Source organism: Homo sapiens, chromosome 7 (genome assembly GCF_000001405.40).
Source record: "Homo sapiens chromosome 7, GRCh38.p14 Primary Assembly".
NCBI lineage: Eukaryota > Metazoa > Chordata > Mammalia > Primates > Hominidae > Homo > Homo sapiens.
Genome location: NC_000007.14, coordinates 52,829,799 through 52,845,382, shown reverse-complemented (window position 1 = coordinate 52,845,382; position 15,584 = coordinate 52,829,799). Strand labels below are relative to the sequence as shown.

Here is a 15,584-nt window from a genome sequence, read left to right as displayed (position 1 = left end):
GAATGAGGAGCGACCATGAGGAGGCCTTGGCTACAAAACACAGAGCCCCCTCTAGCCACTTTGAGCAGAAAGAGAATGTATTCAATGCTATGATGGGGCAACCTATAGATGTCCGAGAAGGTCATAGAATCAGGAGTGGGGCCATCTAGCCAGGAAGCATATGTGATTTATGTTCTTGGAGGGCTCTAGAACAGGGCTTCTCAACATTTCTGTGGTGACATATATACAGATATGTTTCCAAAAAATTATATATGTATGTAAATATGTATTGGCATACATATATATCAGTAATGAACCCATACTTTTATAAAATACAATAAAAATACTTTGTAGAAAACAAAATATGAAAAGCATAAAAATATAATTTCAAAGCTTTTATTATTAGATCCAACAGACATATTGCATTTCAATAAATATAATCAGAATAAATATAATGCAGTCACACAGAAAAAATTTCAAAACGTATCTTTTCACTGCTGTTGTGCATATCAGTGATTAATTTAGAGAATCATTACTCTACTTGTAACTTTTTGTTTTTCCACAATCATAATTAAACAAAAAGTTTTGAAGGAACTAGCAATCATCATATTAAACACCTGCACTCACATCTGGAATGAACATCATGTATATCAATATTTAAGTTTTTAATGTGATGAATAATCTTGCTTCTTGCTAGTTAAATGAATTACTTTAGGTTGGTTGATGACAATCTTCCTCTTGAGGAATAATTTATATATAAACGGTTTCTGTATTCTGTTTTAATGAAAATCATACTAGAGAAAAAAGTCTCTCACAGAGGTAAATTAGAATAAAGAAAGACATTTTAGAGTAATTTTGGCAAACACAAAATATTCATTTATTAAGTTGGTCACCACTGAGACAATGCTGTAGTTTCAAAATTGAACTTTAGTCCTTCATCAGTAGCCAATTTCAATTTAATCTGTAAAGTTATAGTTGTCTTTAAAATATTTTCCAATGGAAGAAATTGATTTCAAGTGCATTTTTTGATGAAAAGGTTTTAAAAATTTAATCAATTTTGATGAAAATGTTTTAAAAATTTAATCCAATTTTGTTAGATATCCTAGCAATAACCTTTTTCAGTTGTACACTATCAATATCATCACCTAATTCAGGTAATTGTAGGTAAAGTATAGAACATATTACAACACTCTGTAGAAACAATTCTTTTCCAAACATCTATCTTTCATTAAAGACCCATTTTCTGGGATGGTTATACATTTCTTCATTATAGTTTATCTGAAAATGCAGCCCACATTGAACATGGTCCTGCCCACATAGAACCCACATACGCAGCCCACATAGAACATGTCTCGTTTACAGCTCTCACCACATGAAGCTCACCCTGTGAGTCTGATAAAATGCCAGTTGGTGTCCTGTTCAAGTAGTCATGTCGTAGGATGGTGTGAAGATACTAAATTACTCAAAATCTAAAGATTTCTCAGCTTTCCTTTCAACTTCTGCATCTGTGTCATCGTGGAGCAGTGGTGCTCTAAGGGCTCTGCCCACATGGACACATCACTGCAGCCACTGCTGGGCACAGAACAGGGTACACACCAGCTCTGCTAAGCAGCTGATTCTACTGCCAGAAACTCCCCAACCTTTGCCCTGAGAGAAGGAAGTCCCTCTGACCCCTGTGATAGAAGTGATCAATTGCCTGATATGCCTTCTTCTTCATGCCCTTCTACTTTGTACTGAAATGTCACAGTGATTTGTATCTGAGTGGCCAGACCAGCTCACCATCAGGCATCCAAGATGAGAAGCATCTGAAAATGTAGTTCCTGGCTTTTCTCAGAGAGGAGGTGTGCTCATAATGTGAGGAAAATGAAAATACAGGAGTGGTTTTCAAAAGATACTGTGTGCAGTCAAAATGGAGGATGAATCTCTACTGCAGAGCCTGTAAAAGGAATCCAGAAAAACGATTTCATTATCACCTTCACTGGACATTTAATTGATTTTCTCTTAGGCCAGCCCAAATAGTCATGTCCACCATTAATTAGAAGAACAGGCCACTGCCTAATTGCTTTAATTTCAAGACTGCCAGAAAATATCTCTGTCCAAATCTTTTCTCTGATTTGTTAAATAGCCTTTGTAAAAAGACAAAGGCTTGTATTTTATAGAGAGTAGTGGTTATAATTTTTAAAAAGTCATTTGAATGTAAATACTTCTCCTTAAGAAGGAGATTTCACTTAGTCAGAGTGGACAGTAGGGCCAGGCTTCTTAAAGGGGAGAGGAAAATTTTTTTCAGAAAGAAGCACAGCTTAGCCTGCTGTGCTATCCAGTGTCCTGTTCAGCCTCTCTCCCCAGTTTTCTATTGTCGATCAAAACCTAACTTATTCATGAGAGGGAGCAAAGGAAGGGTAAAAAGGCTGTGTTGTCCTTCCCTAAACAATGAAAATATAAGTGAAACTCAATGCTATATTTAATTCTAGAATCATTTACCTATCTGTCCTTCTCTTAATGACTTTGATTTGTTGCTTTTTCCTGTGTGGTAAGAGGAAATAACATACCTCTCTTCCTACCAGTCTTTCAAAGCAAACTCTAAAAATAAGCCTGCCTTAATTAAATTGCAAATGTAATCATCAGGGTTTGATCCAATAAAAACTACATGTGTTGGCATTATGTAAAAATCCCTTTAAACCTTGTATAAATTGATGGGAAGCAGCCCTGTGACCCACCTGTCAGGTCTGGCAATAACAGGCAACATGTGATGCAGACATGTGGAACATTGCACAGAGACCTCCCTGAGTGTTAAGCTTATTTATTTCTAAAAGTAAGGGGGTTAACATGCTCAGCTCAGCACTGTGTCTAACTGTTCCCAGTGCTTCCAAAAAAACTCTGTAAGCTGATATAAAAATGTGAAACTTCCCAAGAAAACCTTGAGAACACAAGCAATTCCTGAGGGCCTGCATTACCTCATTCGAGGCATCCTCAAAACAGGTCTGCCCGGAGGCGGAGGCTGCATCCGGGACTGGTTACATTCATGGTTCCATATCTGGGGTGCAATTTGAGATCTACACAATGTGCAGTGAAACAGGTTGTTGATTGAAGTAAGTAATAAAAACAGCAGCAAGTGTATTGCCTTAGGCTACCAACAAATAAAATTCCTGAAAGAGGCAATAAGAGATCAGTGTGGTGAATGTTCATTTTGCATCTTCTGCAAGTTGAGACGGTTGATCTGTCTCTTTCCTCTATTTGGCTAAACATATTCTGTGCTCATATATTTTTAAAGTAAAAAAATCCACTTGCTATAAGGGTCTCTTGACTTGCATCCGGCAAGTGAAGCCAATCAGGGACAGGAGGACTCTCAGGCTCCATGGAATGGAAAAGCTCATGCAGGAGAGGAACTGAAGTGATAGTTTACTATTTTATATGAAGATAAGGCAGATGCTAGTTATGTGATGGTAGACACATGTGTACAATAAGAGCCATGTTATTTTCTAGCTGAAATATTAAAAGCTAAGAGGAAGGAGGATACAATCTTTGTTTTACGAATCACGAAAAATTAGAGATGAGGACCCTTACAGCTTTCAGGAGACAGCATTATGCTAGAAAAAACAAAGATCAACTCATAATCTACATCGGTCACTTTTAAACTTGATGATCTTGAATAGTTTTTTAAAAAGCATTAAATGCTTTGCTAAATAAAATGTGCATGAATCAAGCTTATATTCCATACACCTAAGCATTTGTTGCATGCATTTCCCAGTGTCTCTACTGTGTTTTGTTATCAGATTTGGGTCAATGCTGACTGAAGCACAAGAAGAAGATAGAGAATATTCTGTGGACAGAAATCAAATCCATGCCAAATGACGAAGAAACCAAAGTGGTATTGATAACAGGTGATTCTACCCGTATGTGGGGCAGGAGATGCATAGACACTCTGTGTACCTTCCACTCAGTTTTGCTGTGAACCTAAAGCTGATCTTTAAAATAAAGTCTATTAAAATAAACAAGCAGAGTATTTATTTTGAATGAAAGGAGGGTGGGAGAGCTTTTTCGTGTATGTGCTCACTATCTTCAAGTGCCAGAAGGTAGATGGGATTAGTCTGATGTGGATGGTGTCCGATGGGCAGACCAGAGAAGAGAATTGTGGAGAAACACACACTTTTATTCATTCTCAGTAAATAATCATGGCCCATTCTTTACTTTGCCAGAAAACAGACAAAAATAATCTTATCATCATGGAGCTGACATGATCATGGGGAGAACAGAAAAAATTAAGTGAAACGGACAGTATGCCAGATCGACAGCAACAGGCCCTCCTACAACCCCAGGTCCCCTGGCAAAGTGGGGTAGAGAAGTGCCTATGTCCTGCCAGCTACAGCAGAGGGGGTCTGCCTGCTGGCAGTAGGCCACAACCCACCTGTGCTATCAATGCATTTTCTGCACGAAACCAAAAGCTGAACAGCCATTTTTGATGATCTTACAGAGGTTTGGTTATAAAATATTAATGCAGATGCTTCTTATGTAGCATAAAGACCTATGGCACTTACATTATCAGTGTCTAATGTAAGTTTTAGCTATCTAAATACGCTCCAGTTTTTCTTTATCTTGCTTTTTGTTTGGGGTTTAACTATAATATTAATCTTTTTTCCATTTTTCCCCACTTTCCCATTTCTCTTGCATTTCCCTGATTTATCATACCTTACCTTTTTACATTATCCTTGCTCATTTATTTTACATGTGGCTTTCACAACCAGCATACACCTGTCTTTTTAAAATTAGTTTTATGGGTCTGTCTTTTGTAGAGAAATTCAGTCTTGTTTTCTATCACCTAGGTCTATATTTTAGTTTTGTGTTTCTTTTCGATTTTTTAATTTTGTATTTTTTGATATATGAACCCTCTAGGAGTACTGTGTGTGTGTGTGTTTGTGTGTGTGCACATGTATAGGCATGTGTATATGTGTTTGGGTGTAATACACGTTGAAATCTTACAGTTAAAAATGCAAATTTATTATTAATCATTAATATTGGAATTAAGAGCATCTCTAGAGTCAATCTTGTAGTAAAATAAATAAATAACAACAGAAAGACAACATTCTACTTAAACAACCTCTGTTGGCCCAAATTTTGAATTTTGTTTGCATATCTTAGAATGTTAGAGGTCATTTATAAGTATTAAATTCTAGTGTGTTTACAGTGTCACATATTAGAAGTTATGTAAACATCTATGCAAATTACAAGAGAAATTTATTTGCCCCTCAAATTCCCGGGGCTATGAAGAGGTGAGAAAGAGCTCAGGCTCTTATGGTATCATACAGGGAGTTACCCAACAGGTTGGAGGACTTGTGGAGATGTTGATTGATTATGTGTATTTCCTGCAATTTTATTAAGGTTTAATAATGCAAATGTTAGCAACACCTTGCTTCAGTTTAATACATTATATTTTAAGCGTTTCCCCTTTTATGATGCAAAATCTTTCCATAACTCCACATTTAATTTGTTTATTTCTCTATTCATTTCTGTGTTCACATCTTTGACTAACAAGGGGTTATTTCCCATGAACAGGTTAAGCAGATTTTTCCTTGCAGATTTTTCACTAACTTACCCATTGCTGTTGGTCTTCACTCACTTGAAAGCTGGTTGCTAAACTTTTACATACCCCACTCCTCATCCAGGCAACCTGGAGGGAAGAAAGAAACATGGGTAGTGCCAGCAGTCTAGCTTCATGTCAGTGAGGTTGTCTGTGGATGAAACAGCCACCCTAGAGGTTACTGCTTTTGTTTTGTATACCTTTTGTTTCATTCAGCATTTGCTTTGCTCAGCATCCAAGAGAAGAGTCTAGTAAGGCTGTGTCTCATCTCCATTGACATACTGCTGCATATAATAAGAAAAAGGCTTTTCCATCAAGGAACAGACTACCACGGCTGGGCTGTGGTGTCTTCGTGGTTTTCTGAGTATCACCAGCAACTTCCCCAAGCCACTACTCCTGATTGCAGGAGATTCCCACAGCTGGAGGAATTTACTTTCTTTTTCTCTCAGTATCTTACATAGTTCCTCAGCCCCTCCAATATCAGGGTCTTGTCTAGATGCCACTAAACAGTGTATTCCCAGCCATTGGACAAGGAGAAACTACAAGTAAGAGCTCAGTAATCTTTTTAAAATTCCAAATACATTACTCATCACACATAAGTGAGCAATAATTCTTAGCTTAGCCTTTTTTATTATTTTTACTTTATCAGCTTGGTCCAGATGCCTTTATGAGAAATCTTTTTTGTTTCTTGCCCATGAGTATTCCTGTTTCCTAGTTTTGGAGATTATAATTGTATCTGGGCTTGGAGTTGGAGGGGAAAGAACGGCCAAAGGCCTTGGCTCAAATTCTCATGCTCACTAGAATGAACTATGAAATGAGGCTTTGAGATACACAGAAATGATAGCAGTTTATTCCAGGAGCTAGTACTGCTTAGCAAATTGTACAAGGAAAACCTCATTTTAAAAAACCCAGAGTAGTATTAACAGAATATAAGGGTACTGCCAGAGAAATAGGTTATTTTAATTTTTGGTAAAATAGACTTTCAGTTTATTTTAAGAGACTTATAACCCACTTAAAAATAGGTGAGCTGAAAAATAATTTAAAAAAATTTCTGATGATATGATTAATAGCAACTAGCAAGAAAAAATTAAGAAGTTTGCTTTAAGGTTGTCTTTGATTTACACTATGAAGATGTATTTATTTCCACTTGTATAAGGGAAAAATTGCAAAAAGCAATTGGAGTTGATAATTTGATCATGACTCTGTTATGTTAGATAGGGTGGGATTTAAAAATACATAAACACTTTGTTGTAAAGAGCAATATCTTAATAATAGTTAATAATGATAAACATAAATCCATACATTTGGCTTCAGGAAGAAAAACCAATAAATGAAGAAAACATTTAATTTAGAAAGAGGAGACATGTTTGTCCATGTGTCAGACACTGCACTAGGTGCTGGGATGACACCCCTTGTGCACATGCCCTGAGGGGTTTTGCAATTAGCTTGAGAGATGGATTGATACAGAATTTAAGATGACACAGGGGAATATGTAATACTGGGTATTTCTTCAAGATGCATCAGAAAGGAAGAGAATGGAGGAATTAACTGTGAGGGAGAGGGTAATCTGAGGAAGGCATTAATTTGGGACATAGTTTTATTGACTAAGTGGTGTCTAACTTTCCTACCTGCCCTGATCTTTATGATACAGTAAAAGAGATACCTGCTTTCTCACGTTTACTGCAGCATTATTCACAGCAGTCAAGATATTGAGGCAAACTGAGGGTCCATCAACAAATAAATGGATAAAAATGTGGTATACATACTAAATGGAATACTATTCAGCCTTAAAAGAGAAGGAAGTCCCATCATTTTTGACAACATGGGTGAACCTGGAGGACATTATGCTAAGAGGAATAAGACAGGCACAGAAATACAAATACTGCATGATGTCATTTACATGTGGAATCTAAAAGAGTTGAAATCATAGAAGTAGAGAGTAGAATAGCGGTTGCCAGAGGCTGGGAGGGCCTGGGTTGGGAAAGGGAGATGTTAGTCAAAGGGTACAGACTTTCAGATAGACAGGTATAAGTTTCAGTGATATATTGGACAGCATAGTGACTACAGTTAATAAGTTCTTGCTATCATCCTCCTACAGAAATTCCCTACGTCTCCCATCGGTGTGTGTTTTCCTTTGCTGTAACAAATAACAAACTCAAGTTATTCACCCTCAAGTGTGTTCCTGGTGGCCTTTGACTAGAAAACATAGGCATGCCATAGGAAAGGTATGACTGAGGCAGAGTAGAGGGTGATAATCCATTTCCATGTTTTGAATAGCACTTTCTGATTACATTAGTCAATGCGAGTACAGATTTCATTGCCATAATTTTGTGTGAGGGTCTTAACCCAGTATTTTGAGACAATATAATGGGTTCATAATTCTTCATACTTCCTCTTAAATCTGTGTAAATACCCAGGAGGCAGAGCTTGCAGTGAGCTGAGATCACACCACTGCACTCCAGCTTGGGTAACAGTGCAAGACTCCAGTCTCAAAAAAAAAAACCAAAAAACAAAAAACTGTATAAATAATAAATGGTGGATTTTTTTTTTCTTTTTTTTGATACGGAGTCTCGCTCTGTTGCCCAGGCTGGAGTGCCGTGGCGCAATCTCGGCTCACTGCAAACTCCGCCTCCCGCCTCCGGGGTTCACACCATTCTCCTGCCTCAGCCTCCTGAGTAACTGGGACTACAGGCGCCCACCACCACGCCCGGCTAATTTTTCTATTTTTTTAGTAGAGACGGGATTTCACCTTGTTAGCCAGGGTGGTCTCAATCTCCTGACCTAGTGATCCGCCCACCTTGGCCTCACAAAGTGCTGGGATTACAGGCATGAGCCACCATGCCCGGCTGGTGGAATTTGTTTTAAACACTGAGATAGAATTGTGGATGTGGCTACCACCTAACCTTTAAGATAGTTTATAAGATTTAATATTCATCTTGTTAAACCTGCCTTACTGTAACTGTATACCAACATAATTTGTTTCATGCATTGCAATCTAAAACTCTAATGATGGCCTCTAATCTAATCAGTATGTCCCTGGAACTTAATGAAGGTGCCCAATTCAAAAGAGCAAAGGGGAGAGCCTTGTTGGGCTCTTCCAGACACACTGCCTTCTACCCCACTGATTTTATGCAAGAAAATATAATGAACTTGGCCAAACACTTTGTAAAATGCATGTAAACCCATAACCCGATAATGCTCTTGGAAAGGAATTGATATCATTTGTATTTGGAGATCTCTTAAATTTCTTACATCTTTTACATTTGGTATAAAATAAAAAATTGTCAGAAGAAATAAAAGCATTCAAATGGAAAAAGTGAATATTAAGGGTAATATCAAATCAGTACTTAAGAAGAATGCTGGGAAAGGCCAGGAAATAAAGATTACAGAAATTGAAGAGAACACAAATTATCAGAAGCCAAAGTCCAGCCCTAGCCCACCCATCCTCTATACCCATTATCTAGGGGAAATATATGATCTTAGGGCAAGTGCAAGAAAGGTTACAATTAAAAACATCTCAGTGATGATTCTTGCCTTAAACTCCAGAAGAATCCTTGTCCAACTCTGCTGGATGAAGGATGAAGTAGAGAAATACACTTCTGCATCCCTGCCTTGCCCCAGCATGGACTAAAATACACCTCAGATGTAATTTTCTCTCTTTCCCCTTGCATTCAAACCAGTTAGTATGTGAGGATGTGGGCAGGAAAAAGCAGATAAAAGAAACACAGAATGTGTTTTCTATCAACTGGAGGAACAGGGTGCCTTGGTGACGCCTCTGCTTCATGTCTTCAGGCTGGACTCTCCGTGTCTTCACTCCTCCTCACCAGATTCCAGTCCTGAGGGGCAGACAGAGAGATTGGATGTTGGTTTTCCATAAGCGCTGATAGGGAAAAAATGAAATAAGAACTTAAAAATTAATATGAATGAAAAAATCATAAATACCTGAAATCATCAATTTATAATTGTGCTAATTAAAACTTGGATCTTCTAAGACATTTGTCACAACCCCAGTAGCTACATCATGGTATGGGACCAGTGGGTGGTATGGGACCAGTGGGCGGTGAAGCTCCATGAACCTGGCTGTCAGAGAGAGAGAAGAGATTATTTTCTCTTAATTTGCATGGCCTGAGACTCACTAAAAGCAAAGCCAACATAGTGAATACTTTCATTTTCTTTGGAAATCAAATGTATATGTCATTCAATTTTCTCATGTATAGATTAAGCTTAAAACATTAAAAAGCTTATACTTTATGCTGATTTAAATATATTATTAATTTGTATTATTTAGGCTTCTCATTAATACCTTAATAATACCCAGATATAAAGTTTTGACCTAATTATTATTTTTCTACTTGGAGTTAACAGTTCCTAGGTATATACAGGTGCATGTGTGTATAAGGGAGGAATTGGGGGAGCATGCCAAGTATGTAGAATATTTGCTGTTATGTGCAATGCAGTATATTACTTATTTATATATTTATATCTCATCTTATTTCCAAAATTATTTAAGGGAGGTTGTAAAAATACATGATCATTAAACATTCATTAATTTAGTAAATATTATTAAAAGCCTACATGTGAGAAGCCATTCTAGGATGTGGAGATATAGCACTAAACGAAGTAGAAATAACCCTTGCCCTCGTGTAGCTTACATTCTCATGTTGATTCAAGGGAGACTATGAAGACTAATTTTAGGTGTCCACTTGACTGGGCTAAGGGATGCCCAGACAGCTGATAAAACATACTTTATGGGTGTGTCTGTGAGAGTGTTTCCAGAAAAAACGAAAATTTGAATCAGTAGACAGAGTGAAGAGGATTGCCCTCACCAGCATGGGCAGGCATGATTCAATCCTTTTGGGGACTGAAGAAAACAAAAAGCAAGGAGAAGGGCACATTTCCTCTTTGCTTGATCTGGGCTATCCAGCTTCCCCTGTCATTGAACGTCAGCTCAGCTGGTCCTCAGACTTTTGGGCTTGGACTGTCACTGTAACATCCACTTTTCTGGGTCTCCTGCTTGCAGACAGTGGATAGTGGGACTTTTCTGTCTCCATAAGAGTGTGAGCCAATTGCTCATAATAAATCTCTTTCTATAGATCTCTAGTTATATTCTCTGGTTCTGTAGAATGCTGAATAATACAATAGCATAGATGAGAGGTTGAGAGGTTGATGAGGAAATACAACGGGACAAGTGTAGAGAAAAAAAGACCTGTACAAAATTGCATACTTCTCATCTGATATGCTTGAGATTTAATTTGAAAATTGCCATTGAAAGAAGGGAGAAGTAGGTCACTCTCTATGCGGATAGACCCTCCTCAGTTCAGTGTGCAGACTCCAAATGGATGCGGGAGATTAGTAAACAAGGGAAGGGGCACCTCTCATTCATAGGATAAGTCATGTCTGTCTCTTTTCCTGTGAGAAATGCTGCCAGATGGCCCTCAAGTATGAGCCCACACACCTCATATGGATTGAGCACAAATTTGTCTTTAATATTTATAGCCAAAAAAAGAGGGAGATATGGACATTCCACCATTTCTAATGAAATAAAATACAGAAAAAGAAAAAAAATAATTTTAGGAAAAGCACTGAAATTCTTCAGAGCCCTACCAGAAAAAAAAAGTTCTTGTAGGATTCTTAAAAATTAAAACATCTAATACTAATATAACAGACATATGTACACCGCCTTCTCAGTGCCTTACATCTATTAACTAATCGAAATTTCCCACCAGCCTGTGGAGTATCAAAGTTGTATCCAGTTTACATATGAGGAAGGGAAGACTAAGATTACTAGTGTGCCCAACACCCTACAGTTGTGAAAAGGGAAGTAGGACTGGAATCCTGGCACTGTTTAGTTGGTCCTCTTACTAACCTTACCAAACTGCCTCTCTGTACATTGTATTCAAAAGCATTGCAGAAATAGAAAAAAGAATACTAACACTTTTGTCCTTCATACAAATAAATCTTTGCCAATCCCTGTTTGGCTAACTGGGTTTCTCAGTATATTGTTGCTTGATACTTAAACAACTTCTGTGGTTTTAATTTCTAGTTTTCATCAGAGATTGTAGGCTTTCCCTTTCCCTCTCTTGTTGCTTACTCTTGCTCCAGTATAGTAAGGGGCTTTCTTTCACGTGGTGGGAAGTGATTGATAAGCCATGTTTTGCAATGATTATGAATATAGACTTTGGAATGGAAAAGTTTTATGCTTGAATCTAAATGCATGCTGTAGCATTAGTTATAATTTTGACAAGTTATGCAATTAATCTCTGCCTCAGTCTCCATTTCTCTGTGTTGAAAATAGTAGTACTTGATTTGTAGGGTTGTTTTATTCAAGGAAGCCATTGGTATAAAGCAATAGAACAATATTAGCATATTATCAATATATCCAAAATATGAGATATTGGGAAGATTTTGTCATATTCACCATTTGTATCATATTTATAGTAAATAATAATATTTAAAGTGATTAAATAATTACTTGGGGAGAGAGCATCTTCAAGCCTTTTCTTGTTTCTTTTTTCTTTACTTCATTTATTAACGTGCTAGAATATCTGTGTCACATGCTCATCATAATCTCAAATAAGAAATCTACAAAGTAAATATGCTTATCTGAAAAAGATGCAGGCATGGTGACTGAGCTAGATGAGGTGACTGTATTCTGCTAGACTGCGGTCTGGGGTGCAGCGCTGGTGTAAATGCTGCCCCTCCTTTCCTCCCTGTGCCACACACAGCTGCTCACGCATCTCAAGAATCTCAGCCATGGATAGGCTCAGGTAAAGCCTGGGCAGCATTTCCAGTTTCCACTTCATAATTAATGTGTACATAACAAAAGACCCCCTTGTTTACAGTAATATTTTTATTCAATTTATCTTCACAATCAAAGAAAGTGTTTAATTTGCCTTAATAATATTGGCCACCCAGCCTTTATTGCAACATAGGACATAATTACCCTGCTTTAACTTAATTTATAGACCTCATTAACACCCTTGTGTTTCCACTGTGATTAAAAATCTTCTAAGAATTGAGAACTTTCTGAACGGTAGGAGAATTATTATGATGTATTGTTCACCCTGGCAGTCTTGAGCACAGAGTGATTTATTATTGTGGATCCTCACTGAGGTGAGCAGAATATGGGGGGAAGAAGGCAGTGTTGCAGGGGAGGTGCATTTATTCCTCTTAGACTGAGGGTCACAGTTTAATATGGAGCCTGTTGCTTGCTGCACGAAAGCATGAAGGAATCTCGGAAGGACAAAACCTTCAGCAGTAACTAGCTTAGAAAATGTTGTTCCTGCCAAAGGGAAAGTAATTTTATCCCCTTATTGGAAATGAAAATCTAGGGCAATCTTAAATATTCCAGCTGGTATTCATTTTCCTCCCTCCTAGAGGGACGACTTCCACCGTGGTCTGAACAGTCAACCAGTTTCATGAAACAGAAGTTGCTTTTATATTCTTTCTCTGACAAAAGATCGCATCTCCACATTTTCCCAGCTTATTTGCTATAATGATTCTTAGATAGCAGATCAAAGGTACTGGCATCACAATTGCCCTCAAGTTCCCAGAAAAAGAACTGGGACTTTTGGAGCTCATGTTATCATTAACAATTACTGTTTATAGTTCATACACAGTGCATGGTATTATATGAAGTCTTACAGCATTTTCACAATAGGCTTTCAATATGAATTTTGAAGGTAATGATAGGAGACAGAATATTTTTTTAATGCAAAATAGGAATTCACTCCTGCCCAAATCCAGGTAATTTTTAGAGACAGAATGAACTGTTGCTGTTCTTTGGATTCATTGAAAGGAATTGTGACGTTGAGTCTGCAGAACCCTAGAAAACACACCACAGCTCTTGTAAAAGAAGTCAGACATCTTCAGAAAAATACCTATCCAAAGACTTTGGACAGGCAAACCATAAAGTGTTTTTTCCCTGCACTCTTACTACAGCTGCTGGAGGGGAGAGGGGCTTAATTTCCTACATAAATTGCTATTGACTTTATAACTTAAGTAAAAGCATTGGGAGATATGTAATTGTTTAATGCATTTTTATTGGTTGTTAAATGCCCAAAGTTGAGAGAGAAGAAAATAAAAGATTCTTGCTCTTGTTATCCCTTCATTTTTATACCAAAGAAAAGCACTCGTGACTCATTCCGGGTAAAGAGTTAATGGAGTGTGCACTGATTGAGAACAAATCTTGCACCCACCAGGAGCTTTGCTCCTGACACTCCTAGAAGCTTTGCACCTTGTTTCCAAAGCTCTTTACAAATCATCATAAAAGAGAAATGATCTCAGAAGCACTTAAAGCCTTTTCTACACCCACTTTTCCAATAAATCTCAAACATAACTTTCATTTTGATCACAGAAATGCAAATTTTCTGACAGGCAAACTACAGCATGACTAAGTCCAAATCGGGTACAGTACATTTACTCAAGTGGAAAGAATAATGCAATGAAACATAATGGAACTCACTCATCTCCAACTCTCAAACCGTGAATGCTTTACATCATCGGCTTACTGTTTGGCATTCGTTTTGCACATATTATTTTAAAACTATTTAACCAGTTAGAAAGAAAAATAATGTTTGCACATTGCAGGAAATTTAATGCACTTGTTTCTTCTTAAACACATTTTTTTTAATTTTTCCATAATGTTGATTCATAAGAAAGGTAGATTTGATAGAACTAAAATGATTCCAAACTAATAAGGGATGTAAGGTTTTATTTTTGTTAAGTTGAATCTCATAATACATAGAGAAATGGAAATAAATTTGTAGTCTAGTCTCTCCTCAGTGTGCAGGATAATGGTTGCTAGGCAGCCTCTTTTTTTGCAGAGAAAAGACAGAATTTCCTGCTCTATAGACTTCGTCAATAATGCCTCATCCTATATGTTTTCTACTGAATCTTTATGTGGGATTGGACCTGCTGAGCAGCATAATTGAATGTACAGTATAGACCTGTTCTATGTGTGAGGATCATATTTCCACACAAGTGTCAAAGTGGAAACAAGTGGACATTAGTGAAACAGATGGATGTTACCTAGAGAAGTCAGCCTGATAATACCTAAGAGGCTTAAAACCTGTATCATGAATATTATTTTAATTGAATTCTATTTTATCAAAGCAACATGTACACAATAGCATAAAAAGTTAAGTAGTAAATTAAAAGGATTAAAACTAAATGACTCTCTGCTGCATCACTTCCCTCCCTGACCAGTCTCCCTCTCCAAAACAAAACATTTGTGTCTTTTCGTTGTTTAGTTTCCATAGTTCTCAACATGTGAATAAATTGCTATCATTGGACTCATCAATTTTAGATACTATGGGCTTCCTGTTATGATAGATGAGGATTTACATCTATTATGTTGCTATCCTGTATCTTTTACGTTCCTCATTCTCTTATTATAATCTTGTTAAAATTTGGGGTTAAAGCAACATTAGGGTTCATGGTGTTTAAATTATTACCTTGCCATAAAAGGATCACATTTACTCCTTTCAGTTTGTTCTGAAATTTAGGATTCCTTGTTTGTTTGTTTAGTAGAGACAGAATCTCACTATGTTGCCCAGGCTGGTCTTGGACTTTTGGGCTCAAGTAATCCCGTCACCTCGGCCTCTTAAAGTGCTGGATTACAAGCATGAGCCACTGTGCTTGGCCTCTTGTTTGTTTTTATTTGCTTGGATTTTTGTGTGTTTACTAGATTGGTTTGTAGTTTTTATTATATTATCAGTGTCATTTTCTAAAAAATAATAAAGTTCAGTAAACTGTAAATCCAGATTTTCTTTGCAGGTCTTACTACTGGAGGTCTTTAATCCCCTGCATTGCCTAGGCATGTTGCCCTGTTGTCTACCTTTACCATCATCCTAAGTTGAATGCTTATTTCTTGTATACCAGGACTTCCCTTCCTTGGCTTACTCTATTATTTGGGTGAAGCGTATCCTCCAGTAGTTCTACCATGTTAAAAACATGGCACCAAGACAGAGGTTGTGATGAAAACTCTTAGCCTGTCTTTTGAATTTCACTGCTCCCAATGGACCAGTTG

General features: G+C 37.3%; 1 long non-coding RNA gene across 1 annotated transcript; it reads right to left on the bottom strand.

Moving 5' to 3' along the window:
- Nucleotides 1–361: 361 nt before the first annotated feature.
- LOC124901805 (uncharacterized) lies at nt 362–5,646 on the bottom strand. The gene is made up of 2 exons (XR_007060629.1): nt 5,570–5,646; nt 362–1,915 (listed from the first exon to the last, which is right to left on the bottom strand). It is a non-coding gene; the product is annotated as an uncharacterized LOC124901805 (long non-coding RNA).
- Nucleotides 5,647–15,584: the final 9,938 nt, after the last annotated feature.